Genomic DNA, 25,736 nt, shown 5'->3' with positions numbered 1-25,736 from the left:
TGGGACTTTGGAGTGAAAGATCCAGAGTTAAAATCTTAGCTCAGCTGTTTGCACTCTATAATCTTGGGCAAGTTATTCCACCTTTGCAAGCCTTAGTTTCCTTACATGAAAAATGCCTGTCATAATGCTTATCCTTACAGGGTTGATGAAAAGTAAACTAAGACGTAAAACGCTTAACAGTGTCTAGCACAAAGTTCAGTCCTTAGTGGAAGGCAGCATTCTCAGAAGACTGAATACAATGCTGAGAAGTGGGTTGCAAAACACAAAGGAAGAAGAAACTGACAGGCTCCTATTCTATATGGAAAGGAGGAAGCTGTGCATTCAGAAGCAGCTGGAGGAAAGCCAATTATACTACAATCAGACTGCCATCCTGGTGAGACTGGTAGGGAGGTTCCCTAGAAGCAAGCTGGGAGAAGCTCTGGAGATGTGTGCACATAGCTATTCTACTCAGATGACTACAACAGCCTATCTGCTCATTCTGTCTCTCCAGTCCATCCTCTACCTCCACAATAATGACCTTCTACATAACACTGATCTGATGCTACTCTGCTGCTTAACTTAGCGAGGCATAAAAGGCCTTTGGGTTACACTCTGCTTACTGCAGGGAACAACTTCCTCACCTATCACTGTCAATACTACCTCCATAACTATCCCCATTTAAATCCCTTACTCCGTAACTATCAAACAACCTGCAGTACTCGGAACCTCATCACATTTTCCCATGACTCTAAGCTCCTGCCCATGCTGTTCCTTTTGTCCAAACACCCTTCTCGCTTGTTTAGCAAAATCCTATGCATCTTTCAACCTCCATCTTCTTTTTCTATCCAAGCAGAAGTACTGTTCTCTCCTATGTACATACCCCTATTATTGCACATTCCTCAATCAACAGATTCAGAGTCTCTACTACTAGCCAGCCACTATACAAGGCATTGTGAATATAAAAATAAATGGCTTTCCATCCCTCTCCCGACCCCAACTAGCCTGGAAGCTCACTGGGGACAAGGACAATCGTATTCATCTTTGTATTCCCAGCACAATGCCTTGCATGCAACAGGAACTCAATAAATTCCTGTTGGAAAAAAACAAAAGAAGCATTCACCGTACTATTCACTCCCTTACACCCCTCAGCACTTAATGTACCAAATGTAAACTGAGTACACGTTGCTTTGCAAATGTCCCATCAGTGCCTGTGATGCAGTATAGCCTACCTCCTTCATTTGACTGGAAGCTCCCTGAAGGCAGGGGCTGTGGCCTGTCTCCTTTCCTTCCTCTAGATCTCCCCCTGGTGCTTAATACAGAGCTTGGATCACTGGGGTTGGTCAATATGTTGACTAAGGCAGCATTCAAGAGTGAAACTGCAAACAGGCTTCCCAGTTATCTTGGAGGAGGACTCTAGAGCTTTTTACCTGAGCCATGCTGATTTCTCACTTAAGGCAACCCAAAAGTTCAGGAGTTCCTAGGTCCACCTTTCCTTGAGACACTGTCGTTTTGAAGAACTGTCACCAAATCACGGTAGCGACTCCTTCGTGTCCCATCAGTCCTGTTGCCATATTGAACTTTGTCTTCAAATAGAACTTAGTGTCCTCCGAAGAAAAGATAGGTGTTCCAAGAATCCCTGGACTCTGCCTGGCTCCTGCCTATTGTCTGAAGAAAAAGAGAGTCTACCAGTCTTGGTTTTCCAGTTGAATTCTCTTGATGAAGCTCACGATCTGTTTCAGAAACCTGAAACCAGAAAGGAAGAGGGGGGCTGCTAAATGCAACATCTTCAGGCCATTACAACGTGCGATATGAATTTTTTTTTTGCTGGGCGCTCTCTGTGAAGCTCAGAACGAGGACATGAGTCAAGAAGAGTTTTCTTTCTAGGTCAATAGGAGGAACTGGTCTCCTGGGCAAGGAGTGGAAGCCAACAGGAGCAAAAGTAATTGGGGCCTCCTATGGAGGAACTCTGCCAAAAGGAAAGTTGCTTGGATTTGCCATCTCAGGAATGGAAGAAGGGGGCGGAGACCCTTTGGGGCTTTTGTGCCCAGTGGGCCGGCCCGAAAAGCTCGCACTTTACAGAGGCGGCAAGACTAGGGTGGAGGAAAGCTCAAGGGCCATCGCTGGGTGCTTCGGTGGCGGGCAGAAACGGGACTGGCAGTGCCCACACGTGTGCGTTCTCCCCGTCCGCCCGAAGGTAGGGAAACTTGCTGCGGAGGTGGAGGACAGGCAGGCGAAGCCCGGCGCGGCGTGTCGCCCGCCTCGCTCCGGCCAGCCAGCCTCTGCACCCGCTGCACCAACCGGGAGCAGAGCCGGAGAGTGCCGAGAAGCGCGCGAGATGCGTGCTCGCGCCCGCGTCCCCTCCGAGAGCCCTCTCCCGGGCCGGGGACGCGGCGGGACGCGCGGGCAGGGGGCGGTGTGCGCGCACGGCCTTTCCCCTCCCTCCCCCGGAGATCCCCCTCCCTTCGCCACGCGCCCCTCCTCCCCTCCCCTCCCCCTTCCCGCGCGGCACCCCACGGCTTGCGAGCTACTGAAGCGCTGCCGTCTGTACGGACGACGCTGCGGTCTTTGGGGCTTGCTCCTACCTGCCAGGCGCGGCCTCCCGCTGGCTCCCTGGCCGCGCGGCGCCTCCTCCAGGCCCCAGCACACCCTGCCAACCCCACCGCCGCGGCTGCCCCCACCGGGACCGAGGCAAGTTTACAAACACCAACCCCGGCCCGTTTCCCCGGAAGCACTTCCCCCTCCCCCTCGTCCTCTCCGCCGAGCGGCTGCATCCACTTCCGGGCTCGGCAGCTAGACTAGCGGGGGCAGCCTCAGAGCGGGTGAGCTTGGGGACGCACGGAGAGGTGCAGCTGGGTGAGTGGGCGGCGCCGTGCGCCGAGGGCATGGAGGAGGGAGCGCTGAGGCCGGCGCGTGCGCCGTGGCCGGGGCGCGCCCCGGCCGCCATCGAGACTGAGGGCAGGACCCTCGGCCCTTCGATGATTGTACGCTGGGTGCTCGATGGGAGGAGGGTTTGCTGGGTGAGCTGGTTCAGACTCCTTGAAAAATCATCGTCACTCTTTCTTCCTCGCGGACGTCCTGCCCATCGCTCTGAGCCGGCGCCCCAAGTAGAGCCAGAGTAGTTCGTACCCAGCCTTTTCACGTAACTCGGCCGAGGTGGTTCTTCTCCGAATTTTTTCCGTCAGGCCCAGATTAGCAGATTTTGGGGTCAGCTGGGAGAGGCGTTAACTTTTCTTCGCACACTCTTGCTTTGTGCGCTCAACCACAGTCTGAATTCTCGCAGAGGCGTTCCTTGAGTAGCCCTTGGCCACACTGCTCACCTCCCTGCAGAAGTCAAAGCCCCAGCCCTCCTCTGCGAATCCCGAGGCCAGCCTGGTTGGTTACCTTCTCCCCTTCGCCCTTTACTCCAGGCCGTCCAGCATCAAACACTAGCCTCCACACGTGGAAAAGACCCTGACTCCCACAGTAGACTAGTCTTATGGGAGTCCTGGCTCTTGGGCCAGGCTGCATTAGGAAAATGGAAACCAGACTGTCTTCAAATTCTTCTGCCTAGCCTTAGCCATTAGAGAGAGGTCCTGCTAAAGATGGACTGCAAATGCGCTTGATGGAAGGAGATGTCAATTCCACTGAAGTCCTCATTTCTGCTGTAGGTGATATTATGTCGTGACTTTAGGAGAAGTAATGGTGATACCAAAAGAAAAAAAAAACTGTATGATGAAAAAAAGACAAGGATTCTCAACTTTTTTTTTTTTGTAGACAGATTTCATTTCCCTGAGCCACTCCATGATTTGGGCCATTGAAAGTACGTTTTTTGTGTTTTAGGATCATTCTAAAATAGAGACAAAATGGAGAAAGAGAGAGATAAAGAAACATCACCAGGAATAAGTCTTTTAAATCTTTTTTGAAAATTAGCTCCTACTTATTTTACAAATCGACACAACGCAAAAGTATAAAAGACACAAAATGGTTATTCTCCCCCTCTACTTATCCCATGCTCCTGAAGGGAATCATTCTTACCAGTTTGGTATATATGCTTTTAGGCTTTTTTCTGTGTTCATACAAAAATCTTTTCAACCAGTATTTATTGAGCACCTGTAATGCGCCATACAGTGTATTTTAGACATCTGAGTCAGCTAACATTTAAAAAACTGTTGCACAGTATTCCAGTTTATGTGTGTGCCTTGTCCCATCTTGATGAACATTTAGGTTTCAGATTTTTTTGCTTTATAAACAATACAATAATGAACATCCTTAAATAGTTATCTTTTTGCTCCGGGCAGGGTGGCTCACACCTGTAATCCCAGCACGTTGGGAAGCCGAGGTGGGCGGATCATCTGAGGTCGGGAGTTCCAGACCAGCCTGACCAACATGGAGAAACCGCGTCTCTTCTAAAAATACAAAATTAGCCGGGCGTGGTGGCACATGCCTGTAATCCCAGCTACTCGAGAGGCTGAGTCAGGAGAATCACTTGAACCCGGGAGGCGGGAGTTGTGGTGAGGCGAGAGTCGTGCCTTTCCTGGGCAATAAGAGTGAAACTCTGTCTCAAAAAAGAAAAAAAAGTTACCTTTTGCATTTATAAGGATTTATAGATAGGATATGTGCTTTTATTTAAATTTATTTTTATTTTTATTTTTTTTTGAGATGGAGTCTCACTCTGTCACCCAGGCTAGAGTGCAATGGCACAATCTTGGCTCACTGCAACCTCCACCTCCCAGGTTCAAGCAATTCTCCTGGCTTAGCCTCCTGAGTAGCTGGCGCCTGCTGCCAGCCCGGCTAATTTTTTTGTATTTTTTAGTAGAGATGGAGTTTCACCATGTTGGTCAGGCTGGTCTTGAACTCCTGACCTCAGGTCATCTACCCACCTTGGCCTCCCAAAGTGCTGGGATTCCAGGTGTGAGCCACCACACCCGGCCCTATTTTCATTCTGTTTAAAGATAGGGTCTTGGTCTGTCGCCCAGGCTGGAGTGCAATGGTGCAGTCAGGGCACACTGCAGCCTCAACCTCCTGGGCTCAAGGAATCCTCCCATCTTAGCCTCCCAAGTAGTTGGGACTACAGATGTGGGCAACTGTGCCTGGATAATTTTGTAGTTTTTTTTTTGTTTTTTTGTTTTTTGTAGAGACAGGGTTTTGCCATGTTGCCCAGGCTGGTCTCGAATTCCTAGGCTCAAGCTATCCATTGGCCTCGGCCTCCTAGAGTGCTAGGATTACAGGATTGAGCCACCATGCCTGGCCGGATATGTAAATTTTAATAGATTCTGTGAAAATGAATTGTAAAAGTTTGTAACAACTCCCATGTTTACTCAGAACCATGTGTGAATGTTCCCTATTCCTACAACTTTGGCAATGTTTAGTGTATGCTATGAATTTTTTATACAGTTACTAGTTTAATGGGTGAAAAATAGTATTTGTTTTAATTTTCATGTCATTAATAGTGAAGTTAATATTCTCTTATTGCCTTTTTTTTTTTTAAGAGATGGGTCTCTGGACAGGCACGGTGGCTCACGCCTGTAATCCCAGCACTCTGGGAGACCGAGGTGGGCGGATCACCTGAGGCCAGGAGTTTGAGACCAGCTGGGCCAACATGGAGAAACCCCATCTCTACTAAAAATACAAAAAAATTAGCTGGGCTTGGTGGCACGTGCCTGTAATCCCAGTTACCAGGTGGCTGAGGCAGGAGAATCACTTGAACCCGGGAGGCGGGGGTTGCAGTGAGCCCATATTGTGCCATTGCACTCCAGCCTGGGCAACAAGAGCGAAACTCTGTCTCAAAAAATAAATAAATAAATAAATAAATAAATAGATGGGTCTCCACGCTTTGTTGCCTTAGGCTGGTTTCCAACTCGTGAGCTCAAGTGATCCTCCCACTTCAGCCTTCCAAATAGGTGGGACTATTTTATTGCTCTTTGACCATTTTAATTGTTTTTGTAAACTGTCTGTTCATATCCTTTGCCCATTAAAAAAAGGTAGATCATTTGTATATTTCTTATTGATGGTAGAAATCCTGTCTGTGTTATGGATAATAACTATTCTTTGTCGTCTGCATTTAAAATATTTTCTCTTTTTCACTTATCTTTCAGCTTTTGAGACAAAAGTCATGCTTTATGGGAAAATATTTGAAACATTTCTGTCTTTGCTAGGAACAAGCCAGGGATGTTTACTATTAAAACTAAGATTTTAGGAGAGCTCCTGGCCACCCTAAAGCCTCCTTGATTTCATATATATTCATCTTACAAAGAGAAACGATTGACAATGTATCAAAACTATGGAGTTCAGCAACATGACCAGATGTCAGATTAACAAACAAAAATTATATAAATAAAATATAAGAATATAACCAACACTAAAATACCATAGAATAAATAATCTGATTCACAATAAAAACATTATATTTTGGCCAGGCGAGGTGGCTCACACCTGTAATCCCAGTGCTTTGGGAGGCTGAGGTGGGAGGATTGCTTGAAGCCAAGAGTTTAAGACCAGCCTGGGCAACATAGTGAGACCCTGTTTACAAAAAATTAAAAAATTAACCCGGCATGCTGGCATGTGCCTGTAGTCCTAGCTACTCAGGAGGCTGAGGTGGGAGAATTGTTTGAGCCCAAGAGTTCGAAGCTGCAGTAAGACATGATTGTGCTACTGCACTTCAGCCTGGGTGATACAGCAAAACTTATTCTCTAAAATAATAAATAAATATTTTTTTTTTTTTTGAGATGGAGTCTCGCTCTGTCACCCAGGCTGGAGTGCAGTGGCATGATCTCGGCTCACTGCAAGCTCCGCCTCCCGGGTTCTCGCCGTTCTCCTGCCTCAGCCTCCTGAGTAGCTGGGACTGCAGGTGCCCACCACCATGCCGGGCTAATTTTTTGTATTTTTAGTAGAGATGGGGTTTCACCATATTAGCCAGGATGGTCTCGATCTCCTGACCTCGTGATCCACCCGCCCTGGCCTCCCAAAGTGCTGGGATTACAGGCGTGAGCCACTGCTCCCAGCCCCTTCTGGTATTCTTGTTTTTTTTTTTGAGATGGAATTTTGCTCTTGCTGCCCAGGCTGGAATGCAATGGTGCGATCTTGGCTCACTGCAACCTCTGCCTCCCGGGTTCAAGCGATTCTTCTGCCTCAGCCTCCCAAGTAGCTGGGATTACAGGCATGCACCACCACACCCGGCTAATTTTTGTATTTTTAGTAGAGACGGGGTTTCACCATGTTGGTCAGGCTGGTCTCGAACTCCTGACCTCAGGTGACCTCAGGTGATCCACCTGCCTCGGCCTCCCAAGTGCTGGGATTACAGGCTTGAGCCACTGTGCCCGCCCCTCACCCCCCCTTCTTGTATTCTTATGGTTGTATATTTTCAGTTTCTGTCTTTATCTTAGCTGCAGTTAATTTTTGTCAATGATGAGAAATAGTGAGAAATGCCACACGGACCTGTGATGCAGTGGAAGAGGTAGCCTAAAGTCAGAAAGTCAGTGATCTAGGCTTGTTCCCATGTCACCTTTGTAATTTTGGACAATTAGTTCACCTTCTTTCAGCTAAGAATCCTCATCTTGAAAACAAGAATGAATAAATACCTATTTAGGCTAATTTCTAATACTATTGTGAAGGTCAAATAAGATAATAAATGAGAAGGAAAAACACCCTTTGCAAATCTATTATCATTACTACAGATTCTTGGTTGATGCAAATCAAATGTAAGTAGAATGCAGCATTTTTTCCAGTACCTGCAAATCATTGATTGATTTAACAAATGTTTATGTAATGCCTCTGTGCAAGTCCCTGGGGGAGGGGAGAGGACAATCAAGAAGATGGAAACTAACATTTGAGGGGTCCCTGTTTTCTATTAGTTTACTTAATGAAGGAAAAGACTTAGTTCTCTCCACCCAGGAGAGTACAGTCTAGAAGCAGAGAAAAGATTGTATACATAGGAGAGTTTGTGCCTTTATTAATGTGGGTGTGGAGCCACTAGGGTTTGTTGATTGGGAGATAGCACAGAGTACTTTAGCTTTCTAACCATAAACCTGGCTGAGAGCGCTTCAGGAGACAATTGCCTAGATCCCTTTGTCCCCAGGCAGGCCTCCTCCTGTGTGACCTTCCCTAACTCCCTCTTCCCTCAGGCCCACTCCATCACTTATTCAAATAGCATTGCAATGACTCCTGCTGAGTCTTTTCCTGCACCAGCTCTCTATTGCCTTAAGGAGAGCCTTAGTGTTTTGTCCTTGAAGCCTGTCCTGGGCCAGTTGAACTTTCCTGCCTTTCCATGGTGACCTCTCAACTCCCTCTTGTGGCAATTTCCCTTTATTTTACATGCAGGTCTCTCTTGCCAGCCTGTTAGCTGGAGCCCACAGGGCAGATGCAGCACCTAGGGTAATGCCAGCCAGGCGCTCAGAAGTAGACAACACTCAGTCAATGTTTGCTGAACAAACTGAACCCATTCCCTTCCCTGAGAGCCAGCGGGGGTTGAGGGGTTGCGTAATAGAGATGAGCAGTGTGTGGCTCCCTTTGCCTTCCATTAGACCTTTGATAACAGTGGATTGAGGAGTTGGGAAACCACATGATGTGCAAGGGACATTCCTTGAGCCTGATGATTTGTATATTTTAGAATTCTTGTACCCCCTTAATTCCTCCATATATATATATATTTTTGAAATGGAGTCCCACTCTGTCGCCCAGGCTGGAGTGCAGTGGTACCATCTTGGCTCAGTGCAACCTCCGCCTCACAGGTTCAGGTGGATCCTGCCTCAGCCTCCTGAGTAGCTGGGATTACAGGCACCCGCCACCACGCCCGGCTAATTGTGTATTTTTTAGTAGAAATGAGGTTTCGCCATGTTGGCCAGGCTGGTCTCAAACCCCTGACCTCAGGTGATCCACCCACCTCAGCATCCCAAAGTGCTGGGATTACAGGTGTGAGCCACCACACGCGGACAATTTTTATATTGTTTAAAAAGAACCGTTATTTTAATTCCATAAGCAATGTGAAATGATTGTATAAAGTTATAAAAATATAGATGTGTATAAATAATAAACTTAAAAATCATCCATAACAACACCCAGAAATAGCCACAAATGAATATTTTGAAGTCTTTTTCCTTCTTTTTCAGTATTTTCTTTTTTTCTTTTTTTTTTTTTTGAGATGGAGTCTCGCTCTGTCGCCTAGGCTGGGGTGCAGTGGCGCGATCTCTGCTCACTGCAAGCTCTGCCTCCCGGGTTCACGCCATTCTCCTGCCTCAGCCTCCAGAGTAGCTAGCTGGGACTACAGGGGCCCGCCACCACACCCGGCTAATTTTTTGTATTTTTAGTAGAGACGGGGTTTCACCGTGTTAGCCAGGATGGTCTCGATCTCCTGACCTCGTGATCCGCCCGCCTCGGCCTCCCAAAGTGCTGGGATTACAGGCGTGACCCACTGCGCCTGGCCTGTATGACCCGTTTTACATGAAATGGCCAGACTAGACAAATCTACAGAAACAAAGTAGATTAGTAGTTGCCAGGGGTCGGGGAAGGGGAGAATGGGAAATGACTGCTACTGAGGTTTTTTTTTGGGTGATGAAAATGTTCTGGCGTTAGATAGTGATGATGGTTGCAACAACTTTGTGAATTTATGAAAAAAACACTTAATTGTACACTTTTCACCCCACTTCCTCTGCCATCTTGGTCCTGCTGTCCTGAGGAGCTACCTGTGCACCCTGCCTCCGGCTCTCCTGAGCAGAGAGGTAAGCTTGTCTCTGCCTTAGGTGGAAATGGCCACTAGAGTCCACTTGCTCAGCACTGACTGCCTTTTCTCTCCCACCTGTTCCCACTGGTTTTCTCCCTGGGCACTCTCACTTGCCCTTGTCTGTGCACTGGAGGCCGAGACTGAGCTGCAGGGTTTGGGCCTCAGGCCCGTTTGGGAGAGGAGGCTCCTGCTGGGTAGGTCCGGGAAGGGTTGACAGGCTGAGTAGGGAATGACTCTGCTCTGCCACAGATCCTGATGGCTGACTCAGAAGCACTCCCCTCCCTTGCTGGGGACCCAGTGGCTGTGGAAGCCTTGCTCCGGGCCGTGTTTGGGGTTGTTGTGGATGAGGCCATTCAGAAAGGAACCAGTGTCTCCCAGAAGGTGAGTCCTTTCTTCCTCCTCCTTCCCATCAAGCTTTCTTTCTTTTCTTTTCTCTTTTCTTTTTTCCTTTCTTTTCTTTCTCCCCCCCCCTTCCTTCCTTCTTTCTTCCTTCCTTTTTTCCTTTCTTCCTTTCTTTCTTGACAGAGTCTCGCTCTATCGGCCAGGCTGGAGTGCAGTGGCACAATCTTGGCTCACTGCAACCTCCGTCTCCCGGGCTCAAGCAGCTCTCCTGCCTCAGCCTCCCGAGTAGCTGGGATTACAGGCATGTGCCACCACGCCCGGCTAATTTTTGTATTTTTAGTAGAGACGGGGTTTCACCATGTTAGCCAGGCTGCTCTCGAACTCCTGACCTCAGGTAATCTGCCTGCCTCGGCCTCCCAAAGTGCTGAGGTTACAGGCGTGAGCTACCACGCCTGGCCCAAGCCTTCTCTTTCTCTTTCCAAATCTGGCTCAGAACTTTCCTCCTTTGATAAGATTTCTCCCCAGAATTCATCCCTGCCCCCCTGGGTACCTCAGGGATTTACATTCTGGGTCTTACTGTGTTCACTACTCTTGTTCATTTTCAGAGTTTTGCTTTGGAAATATCCCGAAGTTGTTTTTAGTGCAGGTTGGCCGTGTCTCGTGTCTGTGGAGGTGTGGTTTGACAGCCAGTCCACAGGCATCCCAGGCCCCCAGCATCCCCGGCTCTCTTCCTAGGTCTGTGAGTGGAAGGAGCCTGAGGAGCTGAAGCAGCTGCTGGATTTGGAGCTGCGGAGCCAGGGCGAGTCACAGAAGCAGATCCTGGAGCGGTGTCGGGCTGTGATTCGCTACAGTGTCAAGACTGGTGGGCCCTGGCTTCTGTGAGGAGGAGACTTGGGAGTTTGCCCTGAGCTCTACTCTGAGCTCCCTGGCTTACTCTCCTTCTCCAGGTCACCCTCGGTTCTTCAACCAGCTCTTCTCTGGGTTGGATCCCCATGCTCTGGCCGGGCGCATTATCACTGAGAGCCTCAACACCAGCCAGTGAGCATCCCAAGGCCCCTCTACCATCCCACAAAGGATTTAGGTTTGCTAGAGAGGTGCCTGAGGGGTAGGGGAGGAGAATGGTTCTGCCCTCTCTCTACTGCTTCTGGGAATCCCTGTCGGCAGAGAGTTTTTCCTCATATCCTTTGGACCCACTTTCTCCAAACTTTCTCAGGCCTCCTGACCCCTGTTTTCTCTTTCTTGCTTCCCTGGTTCTGTCACCAACTCGTTCTTCTCCTTGGACTGTTGCTTTGCTCACTCTTCACTGCCTCCTTTTTGTGACTCCTGTGCAGTTTAAGGGCCTGTCTGGGCAGTCCCTCCCCATCTCTCCTTTCTCGTCGTTCTCTCTCCTGGCAGGTACACATATGAAATCGCCCCCGTGTTTGTGCTCATGGAAGAGGAGGTGCTGAGGAAACTGCGGGCCCTGGTGGGCTGGAGCTCTGGGGACGGAATCTTCTGCCCTGGTTTGTGAGAAGGAGGAGGACCTTTCTTTGCCCTTTTTATGAGTTCCTCCTCCCCCACCGTTCTCTTGCTCTAGTGTCTGGCAGGGAGGGATGATTCCTCTTTGATTCCTCTCCAGCTGGACCCAGGCCAGGCCAGGGAGGCGGCTGCCTGGTCCCTTCATGCTCATGTTTGTCACCATTCCCTGGGGTCAGTGGTCTAGTTCCTGCTATCTCCGGACGGGGGCTGTCTCTTGGGGGCAGCCCCAGATGTGGAGAGGTGTGGTCAAGAGGATCTGCTGATCCTGGATCCATTCTGGGATGGTATGATCCTGAGAATTGTGGCCTGGGAGCCAGTCATACCTGCTTCTTTGATGAGCTCTTCTGGTAGAAAGGGAAGGGAGGCAAGCTCCAGTCTTGACCCACTGCTCCTTCCTCTTGCCACCGCCCCCTCCCTGTGACAGGTGGCTCCATCTCCAACATGTATGCTGTAAATCTGGCCCGCTATCAGCGCTACCCGGATTGCAAGCAGAGGGGCCTCCGCACACTGCCGCCCCTGGCCCTATTCACATCGAAGGAGGTGGGGAAGAGGCACAGGCCCAACCCTGGGCTCCTGATTCTAATCTCCAGCCAGCTAAGTAGAGACCTTCCAGGTCTTCTCCCTGCCCTCCCTACATCCTCCAAGGCCAGCCTGCCCCCAGGCGGATGTGCTTCCTTCCAATCAAGGAGGTCAAGTAACTGCTCCTGTTCACATTGCCTTCTGTTTGGGGGCAGAGGAGGGGCCGTGAGTGCAGTGGACACAGTCCATACTCTTCCTACTCAAGAGTGTGGTCTGTGGACCAGCAGCATTGGTATGACCTGGGGCTTGTTAGAAATGCAGAATCTGGCCGGGCACGGTGACTCACGCCTGTAATCCCAGCACTTTGAGAGGCTGAGGTGGGTGGATTGCCTGAGCTCAGGAGTTTGATACCACCCTGGGAAACATAGTGAAACCCCCTCTTTACTAAAATACAAAAAATTAGCCAGGCATGGTGGTGGGCACCTGTAGTCCCAGCTGCTTAGGAGGCTGAGGCACGAGAATTGCTTGAACCTGGGAGGCGGAAGTTGCAGTGAGCCGAGATGACACCACTGCACTCCAGCCTGGGTGACAGAGGGAGACTCTTGTCTCCAAAAAAAAAAAAAACAAACAAATGCAGAATCTTGGGCCCCACCCTAGACCCCAGACCTAGTGGACCAGAACCTGCATTTCATTTTAACCAGACACCCAGGCGATTCGTATGCACGCTGACATTTGAGAAGCCCTGGTCTACAGGATCCCATTTGTTGGAGCTCACACTTGACTTTTACCTTCTCTCCCCTCCCCCATCAAGTTGTGCTAACTTGCCCTCTGCCTTCCCCCACAGTGTCACTACTCCATCCAGAAGGGAGCTGCGTTTCTGGGACTTGGCACCGACAGTGTCCGAGTGGTCAAGGCTGATGAGAGGTGAAGGTCCTTCTGCCCACATGGCTGTGACCTAGCTTTGCACAGCGTAACTTCCTGCCGCCAGAAAGCTCTGGCATCAGACCCTTACCGCTGGTGGACCTCTCTCCCCTCGCTATTCAGTAGAATTGCTGTTCCTGTCTACCAGAGCCTGCCAGCGTCTCCCACCTCTGCCCTGAGATCTGTTTCACCCCCTGAGGGAAAAACTAGCACTGTTGTCTCTGCATTGCTAACCCCACCTTACCCTGCCTTCAACAGAGAACCTGTCCCTGCTCTACCCTCTGCATTTTCTTTTTCAGAGGGAAAATGGTCCCCGAGGATCTGGAGAGGCAGATTGGTATGGCCGAGGCTGAGGTGAGTCAGTGAGGCTCGCTGGGGTGATATAGCCTCCAACTGTCTTGGAGGGTTATTTGGGCTCTCCTTTCTCAAGGCATCCTTCATCCCTCTCGTCTCCATGCCCATCTCCCCTGTGGGCTGAAGTGACCATGGAGAGCCTGGGGGTGAGGACACTACATTGCTTTCTGGGGCTCTGCCCAGACACCTACGCCGGGTTGGATTCTGAGAGGCAGGGCTGAGTGAGGGAGCGAGTCCCAGGCAGCACCACAGGGAGGGTGCTGGGGGCCTGCGCTGTAGTGTGGAAGGTTCCTGTGGGCTGTGAGGGTCTGCGCAGGGAGAGGCTGAGGAGGGGAGAGGCACTGGTGAAGGCTGTGAGTAGTGGGGATGAGGGGACATTAGCACTCTCCTCTACTTCGAGGGGTATGTAACTGCTACAGCCACCTTGGAGGGCATTTTGGCACCATCTATACAATTTTATTTATTTTTATTTTTTAATAGTTTTTGAGACAGAGTCTCACTCAGTCACCCAGGCTGGAGTGCAGTGGTGTGATCTCAAAAATAATAATAATAAATAAATAAATATAAATGTAAAAATTTTTTTTTTTTTTTTGAGATGGAGTTTCACTCCTGTTGCCCAGGCAGGAGTGCAATGGCGTGATCTCGACTCACTGCAACCTCCGCCTCTCAGGTTCAAGTGATTCCTCTGCCTTAGCCTCCCAAGTAGCTGGGATTATAGGCGTGTGCCACCAGGCCTGGCTAATTTTGTATTTTTAGTAGAGATGGGGTTTCTGCATGTTGGTCAGGCTGGTCTCAAACTCCTGACCTCAGGCGATCCGCCTGCCTCAGCCTCCCAAAGTGCTGGGATTACAGGCATGAGCCATTGCACCCGGCCATTTTTTTTTTCTTTTTTGAGACAGAGTCTCGTTGTGTCACCCAGGCCGGAGTGCAATGGCACGATCTCGGCTCACTGCAACTTCCACCTCCCGGGTTCGAGTGATTCTCATGCCTCAGCCTCCTGAGTAGCTGGGATTACAGGTGTGCATCAACACGCCTGGCTAATTTTTGTATTTTTAGTAGAGATGGGGTTTCACCACGTCGGCCAGGCTGGTCTTGAACTCCTGACCTCAAACAATCCACCTGCTTCGGCCTCCCAAAGTGCTGGGATTATAGGCGTGAGCCACCATGCCTGGCCATAAATGTTTTAAAAAAAAATTTAAATGTCCATTAGTAGACAAAATAAATTATGGTATATCTATGTGTCTTAGTTCCTTCCTCTGTAAAATGGACAGAGTATAGAATTTGCCACATAGGGTTATTGTAAGGATTGAATGAATTAGTATATGTAAAGCACTTAGAATAGTTCCTGGCACATAGATGCACTGTATAAATACAAGCTACTGGTATTGTTGTTATTATTATTTATTACTATTATTAGAGTACTGGGTAGCCATTTAAAAGAATAGGTGAGAATATATATACTAACATGAAAGTATCTCCACTGTATATATTAAATATTTATTGCAAATTGCCGTATAGAATGGACATTATGAGCCCTATGAGCCCATTTTTGTTATTTAGAAGAGTATATATTATTGATATATGGATGTTACCTCTGAGTAGCAGTAAGGGCAGCAATTAGAATAGTGATGTTTCTCTTTTTATTATAGAAACTTTTTTGGTAATAGTTTTATTGATATATAATTCACATAACATATAATTCACCTAACATATAATTCACCCACTTAAAGGGTACTATTTAGTGGTTTAGCATATTTGCAGAGTTGTGCAAACATCATCACAATCAGTATTAGAACATTTTTATCACCCCCTAAAGAAACCCCATACCCTTTAGCCATCCCTCTGTAATTCTCCCAAAGCTCCCAGTTCTAGGCAACCAGTAATCTACTTAGTGTCTGTATAGATTTGCCTGTTGTGAATTCTGGAATCATATTATGCATGCCTTTTGTGATGAGCTTCTTTTACATAGCATAATGTCTTCAAGGTTCATCCAACCTGTAGCGTGTATCAACCCTTCACTTCTTTTATGGCCAAATAATATTCCCTTAAATGGATATACCACATTTATTTATCCATTCATCAGTTGATGGACATTTGGGTTGTTTCCACTTTGGGGCTCTTATGCATAATGCTGCTATGAACATTTGTATACAGATTTTTGTGTGAAAATACGTTTTCATTTATCTTGGTTATATACCTAGGAGTGGAATTGGCTGGGTCATATAGTAACTCTGTATCTAACCTTTTGAGAAACTGCCAGACTGTCTTCCAGAGTGGCTGCACCAGTTTACAATCCCACCAGCAGTGTGTGAGGGTTCCAATTGCTCTACATACTCACCAGCACTTGTCATATCTTTTTTTGATTATACCACTTAGTGGGTGTGAAGTGGGATCTCACTGTGTTTTGATTTGATTTTCCCTGATGACTAATGATATTGAGCATCTTGTCATGTACTTATTGGCCATTTGTATATCTTCTTTGGAAAAATGTCTATTCAGATCCTTCACCCATTTTGTTTTTCATAGAATTTTTATTCCAGTAAGGAAGACTGACATTCATAAATATATGTAAAAATGCTGCATATGTGCTATGAAGGTGAGGTACATTGTGCTCTTTGAGCATAGAATACAGGAGAATTGACCTAATCAGGAGGTGAAGGAGTCAGGGAAGGCTTCCCTCAGAAGGGATGGTTGAGCTGAGACTGGAAGGGAGAAAAGAAATGAACTAGGTGGTGCCCCTTTGGGTAGACAAGAAGATTCTGTGTATGTGCAGAGGCCACGGGATATTTCTGGAATTGAAGATATGGAGTTGGAGCAGCTTCCCCCCTTTGCCTGGACTGTTTCCACCCCACCTGTAGTCTTCCTCATCCATGGATACTTGCTTGGGGCTGGTGCTGCCATCTACCCCCACTCTCCTAGTCATCAAGTGGGCATTTGAAGTGTGTGGAACTGTTTTATTTTGCTTTGTTTTGTGACACTAGCCAGAGGGCATTACTGTGTTTATTGAGAGGGAAAGAGGGATCCTAAACATTTTTGTAATGAGCAGGTATAGCTCTACATGAACAAGAACTGACTCACCCAACATGCCAGTAGAGTCTCTGTTGAGAATCTGCTGCCAGTTCTACTTGTTTTTTTGTGTGTGTAACATAAAATTTACCATCTTAACCATTTTTACATGTACAGTTCAGTAGTGTTAAATACATTCACATTGTTTTGCAACCAGTCTCCAGAACTCTTTTCATCTTGTTTTTTTGTTTTGTTTTGTTTTGTTTTTCTGAGACAGAGTATCACTCTGTCCCCCAGGCTAGAGGGCAGTGGCACAGTCTCAGCTCACTGCAGCCTCTGCCTCCTGGGTTCAAGCGATTCTCGTGCCTCAGCCTCCTGAGTAGCTGGGATTACAGGCCCCTCGCCACCAAACCTGGCTAGTTGTATTTTTAATAGAGATGGGGTTTTGCCATGTTGGCCAGGCTGGTCTCGAACTCCTGGCCTTAAGTGATCTGCCCACCTTGGTCTCTCAAAATGCTAGGATTACAGTCATTAACCACCACACCCAGCAGAACTCTTTTCATTTTATAAAACTGAAACTCCATACTCATCAAACAACAACTCATTACCCCCTCTTCCAGCCCCTGGCAGCCACCATTCTACTTTCTGTCTCCATGACTTTGACTACTCTAAGTACTTATATAAGTGGAATCACACGGTATTTGTCTTTGTCTTTTCTTTTCTTTTTTTTTTCTCGAGATGGAGTTTCGCTCTTGTAGCCCAGGCTGGAGTGCAATGGTGCGATCTCGGCTCACCGCCACCTCCACCTCCTGGGTTCAAGCAGTTCTCCTGCCTCAGCCTCCTGAGTAGCTGGGGTTACAGGTGCGCACCACCATGCCCAGCTAATTTTTTGTATTTTTAGCAGAGACGGGGTTTCACCATGTTGGCCAGGCTGGTATCAAACTCTGACCTTGTGATCTGCCTGCCTTGGCCTCCCAAAGTGCTAGGATTACAGGCATGGGCCACCGCACCCGGTGGTATTTGTCTTTTTCGATTGGCTTATTTCACTTAGCAGAATGTCTTCAAGGTTCATCCACGTCGTAGCATGTGAGAATTTTCTTCCTTTTTAAGGCTGAATAATATTTCATTGTACATATATGCCATATTTTGCTTATCCATTTATCTGTTTGGGTTGCTGTTTGGAATCTCTTTGAGACCCTGCTTTCAGTGTTTTGGGTGTATACTCAGAAGTGGAATTGCTGGAGCATATGGTAATTCTATTGAATTTTTTTGAGGAACTGCCATACTGTTTTCTATAGTGGCTGTACCAGTTTACATTCCTGCAGTGCACAAGGGTTCTAATTTATTCACATCCTTGTCAACGCTTGTTATTTTCTTCTTCTTCTTTTTTTTTTTTTTTTTTTGAGATGGAGTCTTGCTCTGTCACCCAGGCTGGAGTGCAGTGTCGTGATCTCGGCTCACTGCAAGCTCCGCCTCCCAGGTTCACACCATTCTCATGCTTCAGCCTCCCGAGTAGCTGGGACTACAGGCTCCCGCCACCACGCCCAGCTAATTTTTTTTTGTATTTTTAGTAGAGACGGGGTTTCACCGTGTTAGCCAGGATGGTCTCGATCTCCCAACCTTGTGATCCACCCGCCTCGGCCTCCCAAAGTGCTGGGATCACAGGCGTGAGCCACCGCGCCTGGCCAACGCTTGTTATTTTCTGTTTTGTTTTGTTTTTTTTTTGAGAGAGGGTCTTGCTCTGTCACCCAGGCTGGAGTGCAGTGGTGCGATCATGGTTCACTGCAGCCTCGACCTCCTGGGCTCAAATGATTCTCCCATCTCAGCCTCCCAAGGAGCTAGGACCACAGGCACAGGCTGCCACACTTGGCCAATTTTAAAAATTATTTTTGGTAGAGACACATCTCTACCAAAATTCCATTTCGCTGTGCTGCCCAGGCTGGTCTCAAAACTCCTAGGCTCAAGCCATTCTCCCACCTCAGCCTCTCAACAGTACTGGGATTACAGGCATGAGCCATGCATCCCCTCATTTTCTGTTACTTTGATAGTAGTTATCCTAATAGGTGTGAGGTGGTAACTCATTGTAGTTTTGATTTGTATTTCCCTAATGATTAGTGATGGTTGAGCATCTTTTCATGTGCTTATTAGCAATTTATTTATCTTTATTGAAAAAAGTCTAGTCAGATCCTTTGCCCATTAAAAAAATTATGTTGTCTTTTTATTACTGAGTTGTAAGAGTTCTTCATATATTCTAGATGCAAGTCCCTTATCAGATATATGATTTTCAGATATGTTCTTTCCATTCTCTAGGTTGACTTTTCACTTTTTTGAAACTTTTATTTTGGATTCAGTAAGTACATGTGCAGGTTTGTTATAAGGGTATATTTTGTGATTCTGAGGTTTGGGGCACGATTGAACCCATCACCCAGGTAGTGAGCATAGTACCCAATAGGTATGTTTTCAACCTTTTCTCCCCTCCCTCCCGCTTCTTATAGTCCCCACTGTCTTTTGTTCCCATCTTTCTGTCCATGTGGACTCAGTATTTAGCTCCCACTTATGAGAACATGTGGTATTTGGTTTTCTGTTTCTGTGTTAACTCACTTAGGATACTGGCCTCCAGCTGCATCCATGTTGCTGCAGAGGACATGATTTCATTCTTTTTTATGGCTGCATAATACTTCATGGTTTGTATATGCCACATTAAAAAAAATCTAATCCACTGTTGGTGGGTACCTAGGTTGATTCCATGTCTTTGCTATTGGACTTTTCACTTTTTTGATAGTGTCCTTTGAAGTACAAAGGTTTTAAATTTTGAAGTCCAATTTATCTGTTTTTTCTTTGGTTGCTTCTGCTTTTGGTGTTATATTTAACCTAATCCAAGCTCACAAAGATTTACTCCTATATTTTCTTCTAAGAGTTTTATAGTTTTAGCCCTGGGATTTAGGCCTGTGATCCAATATGAATTAATTTGAGGGTGTGATGTGAGAAAAGCATTCAAACTGCATTGTTTGCATGTGGATATCCAGTTGTTCCAACACCATTTGTTGAAAAGACAATTCTTTCTTTAATAAATTGTCTTGGCATCCTTGTTGTAAATCACTTGACTGTAAATGTGAGGGTTATTTCTGGGTTCTCAGTTCTGTTCCACTGATCTACATGTCTATCCTGTAGACTACATTGTCTTGATTCAGCTGTAGCTTTGTAGTATGTTTTGAAATCAGGATGTGTGAGTCCTCCAACTTTGTTCTTTTCTTCAAGATTGTTTTTCGCTAGTCTGGGTTTCTTGAATTTCCATATGAATTTAAGATCAGCTTGTCCATTTCTGCAAAGAGGGCAACTGGGATTTTGATAGGAATTGTGTTCATTCATCAACATGAAACATATTTTCATTTATTTAGGTCTTTAATTTCCACAGTGTTTTGTAGTTTTCAGAGTATATGCTTTATACTTCTTTTGTTAAATAGATTAAGTATTTTATTCTTTTTTGGTGTTTTTGTAAATGAAATTGTTTTCTTAATTTCATTTTTAGATTGTTCATTGCTAATGTGTATAGAGATACAATTGATTTTTGTATATTCTGTCTTTTGGAAGAGTTTGTGATCTGTTACCAATTTTTCATTAAATGTTTGATGGAATTCATCAGCAAAGCCATCTCTGCCTGGGCCTTTCTTTTCTTTTTAACTTAAAAAAAATGGAGACAGGGTCTTGCTCTGTTGCTGAGGCTGGAGTGCAGTGGCACGATCAGGGCTCACTGCAGCCTTGACCACCTGGGCTCAAGTGATCCTCCTGCCTCAGACTCCCACTGTGGTAGATTTTTTTTGTTTGTTTTTGGAGACAGGGCCTCACTCTGTTGACCAGGCTGTAGAGCAGTGGTGCAATCATGGTTCACTGCAGCCTTGATCTCCCAGGCTCAAGTGATCCTCCCACCTCAGCCTCCCAGGTAGCTGGGACTATAGGAGTGCACCCCTATACACCTGTCTATTTTTTTTCTTTTTTTTTTTTTTGAGACAGAGTTTTGCTCTTGTTGCCCAGGCTGAGGTGCAATGGCGTGATCTTGGCTCACAGCAACCTCCGCCTCCCGGGTTTAAGCCATTCTCCTGCCTCAACCTCCAGAGTAGCTGGGATTACAGGCATGTGCCACCATGCCTGGCTAATTTTGTATTTTTAGTAGAGACAGGGTTGTTCCATGTTGGTCAGGCTAGTCTCGAACTCTGGACCTCAGGTGATCCGCCCGCCTCGGCCTCCCAAAGTGCTGGGATTCCAGGCATAAGCCACCACGCCCAGCCTATGTATTTTTTTTTCGTTTGTAGAGGTGAGGTCTCACTAGGTTGCCCAGGCTGGTCTTGAACTCCTAGGCTCAAGCAATTCTCCTGCCTTGGCCTCCCAAAGTGCTGGGATTACAGGCATGAGCTACCACATCCAGCTGTAGTAGTTTTAAAAATTACTAATTCAATTTCTGCATAAACTTTTGTACTATTCAAATTTATTTATTTATTTAGAGACAGAGTTTCACTTTGTCACCCAGACTGGAGTGCAGTGGCACAATCTTGGCTCACTGCAACCTCTGCTGCCCAGGTTCAAGTGATTCTCCTGCCTCAGCCTCCTGAGTAGCTGGGATTACAGGCGCCTGCCACTGTGCCTGGCTAATTTTTGTAGTTTTAGGAGAGACAGGGTTTCACCATCTTGGCCAGGCTGGTCTTGAACTCCTGATCTCGTGATCCACCCGCGTCGGCCTCCCAAAGTGCTGGGATTACAGGTGTGAGCCACCGTACCCAGCCTATTTATTTATTTTTGAGACAGAATCTTGCTCTTTTGCCCAGGCTGGAGTACAATGGTGTGATCTTGGCTCAGTGCAACCTCTGCCTCCCGGGTTCAAGCGATTCTCATGCCTCTGCCTCGGCTTCCGCCTCCCAAGTAGCTGGGATTACAGGCGTGCACCACCACACCCAGATAATTTCTGTATTTTTTAATAGAGACGGGGTTTTGCCATGTTGGCCAGGCTGGTCTTGAACTCCTGGCCTCAAGTGATCCACCTGCCTTGGCTTCTCAAAGTGCTGGGATTACAGGTGTGAGCCACCGTGCCTGGCCTATTTGTTTATATTTTTTGAGGCAGGCTTTCATTCTGTTGCCCAGGCTGGAGTGCAGTGGCAAAATCATAGCTCATTGTAACCTCAAACTCCTGGGCTCAAGCAATCCTCCCATCTCAGCCTCCTGAGTAGCTGGGACTACAGGCATGCCCACTACACTTGGCTAATTAAACAAAAAAATTTTTTTAGAGATGGGGTCTTGCTATTTTGCCCAGGCTGGTCTTGAACTCCTGGCCTCAGGCAATCCTGCCTTGGCCTCCTGAAGTGCCGAGATTATAGGTGTGAGCCACTATGCCTGACTCAATTTTTTTTCAATAGCATTGGATCTTCCAGTAAAACATTCAAGTTCTTTGAGAGTATGAGCTTTGGAAATGAAAACCTAGGTTCGAAGTCCATCTCTGCAGCTTCTGCTTGGATCTTTGAATCTCAGTGTCCCTGGCTGCACATTAAAAAGGACAGTAACACATTGTTGTGAGGTTGAAATGGGCCATTTTAGGCATGCAAAGAGCTTAGAGCTGGGCCCAGCATCAGGCTCTGAGTAGCTTTTGAGATGACTTTACATCTTTCTCCCTCTACATTTTGGCAACAGGGTGCTGTGCCGTTCCTGGTCAGTGCCACCTCTGGCACCACTGTGCTAGGGGCCTTTGACCCCCTGGAGGCAATTGCTGATGTGTGCCAGCGTCATGGGCTATGGCTGCATGTGGATGTGAGTGGGACTTCGGCTTGGGGGTGCGGTGGGGTGGGCTGAGCCAAGGCCAAGGCCCACGTTGTTCCTCCTGCTCCACAGGCTGCCTGGGGTGGGAGCGTCCTGCTGTCACAGACACACAGGCATCTCCTGGATGGGATCCAGAGGTGCATACAGTCCCCTTCTTCCCAAATCCCGCCCTTCAAACCATTGGTCCAGAGAATCATCATGGACTAGGGAGTTTAACATGGCTGGGGTAGGAGGCTGAGGGGAGGGGGACTGGAGAGAGGATTGATTGGAGCTGGGAGGTCAGACATGGCAGTTCTTCCTGATGCTGGGGTGAGGGTGAGACCAAAGCCCCTTTGCTGGGGACCTGGAAAAGGAGGAAGGGCTCTGGTTGGGCAGCTGGAGGAGGAGCCACTGACCTGCCTTTGCTCCACCCCATCCAGGGCTGACTCTGTGGCCTGGAATCCCCACAAGCTCCTCGCAGCAGGCCTGCAATGCTCTGCACTTCTTCTCCAGGATACCTCGGTGGGTCTGCCCCTGCCCCTGCACCAGCCCCACCTCTCTCTGGAGCTCTGCCTTCTCTATCCCACCTTAGATAAAGTTCAGGCCTTTCTCTATTCTCTTTACCATCCCTTCTGAAGCTGCATCTCAGCTACCACCCTAACCTGTATTAGGCTCCTTCACTCCCCCAGTGGCCTCTCTTAAAAGAAAAGTTTCCAGCTTGAAGTTGGAGTCAGAGGTATCCTGGAGTTTCTAGCTTGAGGTTGCCATCAGAGTTTGGGAAGAACCCTGGGTATTGGGAGGAAACCCAAAGAAAGGTGTTGGAGCCAGCAGGCAGCCGTCCCAGCAGTGCCATCTGGCTCCAGGGAAAGAAGAGGGTATCCTGAGCTAAGACCCCCACAGTGCAGCCCTGGAGGAAAGCCTCGGTGGAGAGGGTAGGGTCTGACAATCTCCTCACCCCCACACAGAACCTGCTCAAGCGCTGCCATGGGTCCCAGGCCAGCTACCTTTTCCAGCAGGACAAGTTCTACGATGTGGCTCTGGACACGGGAGACAAGGTGGTGCAGTGTGGCCGCCGTGTGGACTGTCTGAAGCTGTGGCTCATGTGGAAGGCACAGGGCGATCAAGGGCTGGAGCGGCGCATCGACCAGGCCTTTGTCCTTGCCCGGTAGGCGGGAGGAGGTGGGGGGTCGTCCCTGTTCCCCTCTCCTGGGTCCATGCCCCTCCCTCTTTCCTGCTCCCGGGATTACTTTTCTCTCGGTCTCTCTGTGGCTCATTCTACGTGGGCCTCTTCTGTCTGGATCTCTGCTTTTCCTCCCCGCCTATGGTTTCTCACTCTCTGTTCACAGGTACCTGGTGGAGGAAATGAAGAAGCGGGAAGGGTTTGAGCTAGTCATGGAGGTAGGACCCCTTTCTATTTTGTGGCCCCTGCCCCAGCCTAGCTCTTTTGCAGCCCCCAAGCCCCAACTAAAGCCCTAGTGGAGGGAAAAGGGCAGGGAGAGGGGAAAGGGGCAGGGAGAGGGAAAACGGTCCCCCTTTCTCAGCTCACACCTTCCTCTTTCTCATTCCTCTCAGCCTGAGTTTGTCAATGTGTGTTTCTGGTTCGTACCCCCCAGCCTGCGAGGGAAGCAGGAGAGTCCAGATTACCACGAAAGGCTGTCAAAGGTAGGCGTGCTGTGCTGCTCTCTTTACCCGTTAGGGAGCTGATGCAACTGATGCGCTTCTGCCCCCTGTTGGCTGGGAGTGGCATGGCAGGTCTCCTTGCTGGTCTCTTGCTCTGAGGCGTGGATGCTCTCTTTTCGGTAGGGGTGGGGATGGGGAGGAAGGTATGTTTCTGGGAAGTAAGAAGCAGCGACGTGTGTTACAGGAGAAGTCAGAGAAGTCACCAGTGTGTAGTACACAGAGCCTTGTGCTGGCAATTGGGCTGGGAACTCAGGCCCAGGACAGATATGAGGCAGAATGATCATGGAAAAGCCTTATTACCCGTGCTAGGGACACAGCAACCCGAGAAAGCCAGTCTAGAAGTGCCATCTGGAGGCGAGGAGCTGTGTTATATCCTGGTCCCTAAAGATAGAGTGGTACTAGGTGCTGCAGATGATCTGAAAGGACAAATGTTCTTGCCCTTATGGAGTTGTTATTATAAGGCAAGAGTTACCTACTTGGAAGCAATGTGTTCAAGGCAGTGTTGTAAATTACTTGCTAGATCACAGGGCACAGATTAATATTATCAAAAATATTACAGGAATTAAGAGAGGGGAGAAGAAGGTGTTGACTAAGGCTTAGATGACCAAGGCTTGAAGTTAGACTAAAGCAGTGTTAGGAATCAAGAGAAAGTCAAGATTTGGCAGAAAATGTCCCACAGGACAGATTTCTTGGAGACAGGAGAAATGGGGAGAAAAGCAGAAGATAGCGAAGGCCAAGCAGGTTAGATATGACAGAAAGGTAAACTGAGGCCAAGGTCAAGGTCTGAGCAAGGTGTGCTACCCCCAGAAGGTGGCTGGGTGGGAAGGAAAAGCACCTCTGGAAGCCTGGCAGGACAAGAAGCCAGCCTACCTGTCAGCCGACCCAGGCTGCAGCTGGAATCTCTCTCCACCCTTCCACAGGTGGCCCCCGTGCTCAAGGAGCGCATGGTGAAGGAGGGCTCCATGATGATTGGCTACCAGCCCCACGGGACCCGGGGCAACTTCTTCCGTGTGGTTGTGGCCAACTCTGCACTGACCTGTGCTGATATGGACTTCCTCCTCAACGAGCTGGAGCGGCTAGGCCAGGACCTGTGAGCCTTCTCTGTCTTGCTGCCGGCCTTGATACCACCCCTCACCCGCAGAGTCACTGCATTCCCTCCCAGCCTTTGAGGCCGGGTGCAGTGGCTCACGCCTGTAATCCCAGCACTTTGGGAGGCCGAGGCGGGTGGATCACTTGAGGTCAGGAGTTCGAGACCAGCCTGGCCAATAAGGTGAAACCCTGTCTCTACTAAAAATACAAAAATTAGCCGAGCATGGTGGCCTGTGCCTGTAAACCCAGCTACTCAGGAGGTTGGGGCAGAATTGCTTGAACCCAGGGGGCAGAGGTTGCAGTGAGCCGAGATTGCACCCCTGCACTCCAGGCTGGGCAACAGTACGAGACTCTGTTCCAAAAAAAATAAAAAAGAACAGCCTTTTTAGGCCACAGTGACCTGCGCAATGTTTATATGCTTTGACCTACTAACTTTCTCCTAACTAAATATTTGATTTTAGGAGAGTGTTTAAATAAATTACAGTATGTCTATATGATGAAATGTTATTTTGCCATTAAAATTTTGTTTACAAAGATAATTTTTATTGACATAAAAATAACTTTAATGTAATTTATGTTGAAAAAGCTGAATACAAGTCTTTATATAGAGTAATATTTGAGCTGTGTTCAAAAATACATAGGAAAAGACTGATAAAATGAAATATGGCAAAATGTTAATAGTTTTCCCTGGAATAGGATAATAGGCAATTTTAAAACAGACTCCTTTAAAAAAACAAACAAACAAAAAAAACATAGACTTCTTTATATCTTTTGAGCTCCCTCCCTTTTATTATGTAATGAATATGTGTTGCTTTTGTAATAGGAAAATAATAAAGTTAAAATTTCAACTGCA

At 47.7% G+C, this 25,736-nt stretch overlaps 2 protein-coding genes across 22 annotated transcripts in view, besides 9 other annotated features; one reads left to right on the top strand and one right to left on the bottom strand.

The window, feature by feature from the left end:
• The window catches only part of ZNF740 (zinc finger protein 740), a 14,421-nt gene extending 11,744 nt beyond the window's left edge, over positions 1–2,677 (bottom strand). Inside the window, exons 1-2 of the mRNA NM_001004304.4 lie at positions 2,562–2,677; positions 1,407–1,722 (exon numbers count right to left, since the gene is read on the bottom strand). Of these exons, the coding sequence (NP_001004304.1) occupies positions 1,407–1,415 (9 nt within the window). The 5' untranslated portion in view covers positions 1,416–1,722; positions 2,562–2,677. The remainder of the gene's footprint in view (positions 1–1,406; positions 1,723–2,561) is intronic.
• Positions 1,660–1,954: a silencer, noted in NCBI's record as "tiled region #11900; HepG2 Repressive non-DNase unmatched - State 2:TssF". NCBI's record gives its function as "represses a minimal TATA promoter and a strong SV40 promoter by Sharpr-MPRA in HepG2 cells {active_cell/tissue: HepG2}" and the evidence as "EXISTENCE:reporter gene assay evidence [ECO:0000049][PMID:27701403]".
• On the top strand, positions 2,048–25,736 carry CSAD (cysteine sulfinic acid decarboxylase). Of its 21 annotated transcripts, none has more exons than XM_047428959.1 (18): positions 2,753–2,798; positions 3,530–3,622; positions 9,629–9,671; positions 9,923–10,054; positions 10,751–10,877; positions 10,963–11,053; positions 11,411–11,517; positions 11,958–12,222; positions 12,897–12,976; positions 13,273–13,327; positions 18,644–18,683; positions 22,010–22,126; positions 22,208–22,272; positions 22,555–22,636; positions 23,080–23,279; positions 23,461–23,512; positions 23,687–23,776; positions 24,715–25,736. In XM_047428959.1, exons 2-18 carry the CDS (start codon positions 3,591–3,593, stop codon positions 24,886–24,888), a joined length of 1,752 nt encoding a protein of 583 aa, XP_047284915.1. In that variant the 5' UTR covers positions 2,753–2,798; positions 3,530–3,590; the 3' UTR covers positions 24,889–25,736. The 21 variants fall into 21 exon arrangements, 18 of the variants coding, with proteins under 18 accessions (XP_024304779.2, XP_047284913.1, XP_024304780.2 ...); XM_047428958.1 differs by having other exon boundaries at positions 2,753–2,832; XM_024449011.2 differs by lacking the exons at positions 2,753–2,798; positions 3,530–3,622 and adding an exon at positions 2,048–2,173 and having other exon boundaries at positions 11,958–12,126.
• Positions 2,308–2,607: a silencer, noted in NCBI's record as "silent region_4496". NCBI's record gives its function as "represses an Ori minimal core promoter by ATAC-STARR-seq in GM12878 lymphoblastoid cells {active_cell/tissue: GM12878}" and the evidence as "EXISTENCE:reporter gene assay evidence [ECO:0000049][PMID:35858748]".
• Positions 2,650–3,208: an enhancer, noted in NCBI's record as "H3K27ac hESC enhancer chr12:53573975-53574533 (GRCh37/hg19 assembly coordinates)". NCBI's record gives its function as "activates a minimal SCP1, AML or CMV promoter by ChIP-STARR-seq in naive H9 embryonic stem cells {active_cell/tissue: H9 hESC(naive)}" and the evidence as "EXISTENCE:reporter gene assay evidence [ECO:0000049][PMID:30033119]".
• Positions 2,898–2,987: a silencer, noted in NCBI's record as "silent region_4495". NCBI's record gives its function as "represses an Ori minimal core promoter by ATAC-STARR-seq in GM12878 lymphoblastoid cells {active_cell/tissue: GM12878}" and the evidence as "EXISTENCE:reporter gene assay evidence [ECO:0000049][PMID:35858748]".
• Positions 7,585–8,520: an enhancer, noted in NCBI's record as "OCT4-NANOG-H3K4me1 hESC enhancer chr12:53568663-53569598 (GRCh37/hg19 assembly coordinates)". NCBI's record gives its function as "activates a minimal SCP1, AML or CMV promoter by ChIP-STARR-seq in naive and primed H9 embryonic stem cells {active_cell/tissue: H9 hESC(naive and primed)}" and the evidence as "EXISTENCE:reporter gene assay evidence [ECO:0000049][PMID:30033119]".
• Positions 11,387–11,886: an enhancer, noted in NCBI's record as "H3K4me1 hESC enhancer chr12:53565297-53565796 (GRCh37/hg19 assembly coordinates)". NCBI's record gives its function as "activates a minimal SCP1, AML or CMV promoter by ChIP-STARR-seq in primed H9 embryonic stem cells {active_cell/tissue: H9 hESC(primed)}" and the evidence as "EXISTENCE:reporter gene assay evidence [ECO:0000049][PMID:30033119]".
• Positions 17,848–18,011: a silencer, noted in NCBI's record as "fragment chr12:53559172-53559335 (GRCh37/hg19 assembly coordinates)". NCBI's record gives its function as "represses an EF-1alpha promoter that drives an FKBP-Casp9 reporter gene in an ReSE screen in K562 erythroleukemia cells {active_cell/tissue: K562}" and the evidence as "EXISTENCE:reporter gene assay evidence [ECO:0000049][PMID:32094911]".
• Positions 23,345–23,972: an enhancer, noted in NCBI's record as "H3K27ac-H3K4me1 hESC enhancer chr12:53553211-53553838 (GRCh37/hg19 assembly coordinates)". NCBI's record gives its function as "activates a minimal SCP1, AML or CMV promoter by ChIP-STARR-seq in primed H9 embryonic stem cells {active_cell/tissue: H9 hESC(primed)}" and the evidence as "EXISTENCE:reporter gene assay evidence [ECO:0000049][PMID:30033119]".
• Positions 24,346–24,846: an enhancer, noted in NCBI's record as "H3K4me1 hESC enhancer chr12:53552337-53552837 (GRCh37/hg19 assembly coordinates)". NCBI's record gives its function as "activates a minimal SCP1, AML or CMV promoter by ChIP-STARR-seq in primed H9 embryonic stem cells {active_cell/tissue: H9 hESC(primed)}" and the evidence as "EXISTENCE:reporter gene assay evidence [ECO:0000049][PMID:30033119]".

The sequence above is a fragment of the Homo sapiens genome, chromosome 12 (assembly GCF_000001405.40).
Source record: "Homo sapiens chromosome 12, GRCh38.p14 Primary Assembly".
Classification (NCBI taxonomy): domain Eukaryota; kingdom Metazoa; phylum Chordata; class Mammalia; order Primates; family Hominidae; genus Homo; species Homo sapiens.
Note: the sequence above shows the minus strand (reverse complement) of the source record. Positions and strands in the feature narration are given on the sequence as shown.

Bases quoted from the DNA above. Each gene is read 5' to 3' on its own strand.
- CSAD (XM_047428959.1), top strand. From the start codon at position 3,591: ATGTCAATTCCACTGAAGTCCTCATTTCTGCT. The intron at 9,672-9,922 runs GTAAGCTTGTCT...GCTCTGCCACAG, and splicing joins CGGCTCTCCTGAGCAGAGAG to ATCCTGATGGCTGACTCAGA. The intron at 11,518-11,957 runs GTTTGTGAGAAG...TCCCTGTGACAG, and splicing joins GGACGGAATCTTCTGCCCTG to GTGGCTCCATCTCCAACATG.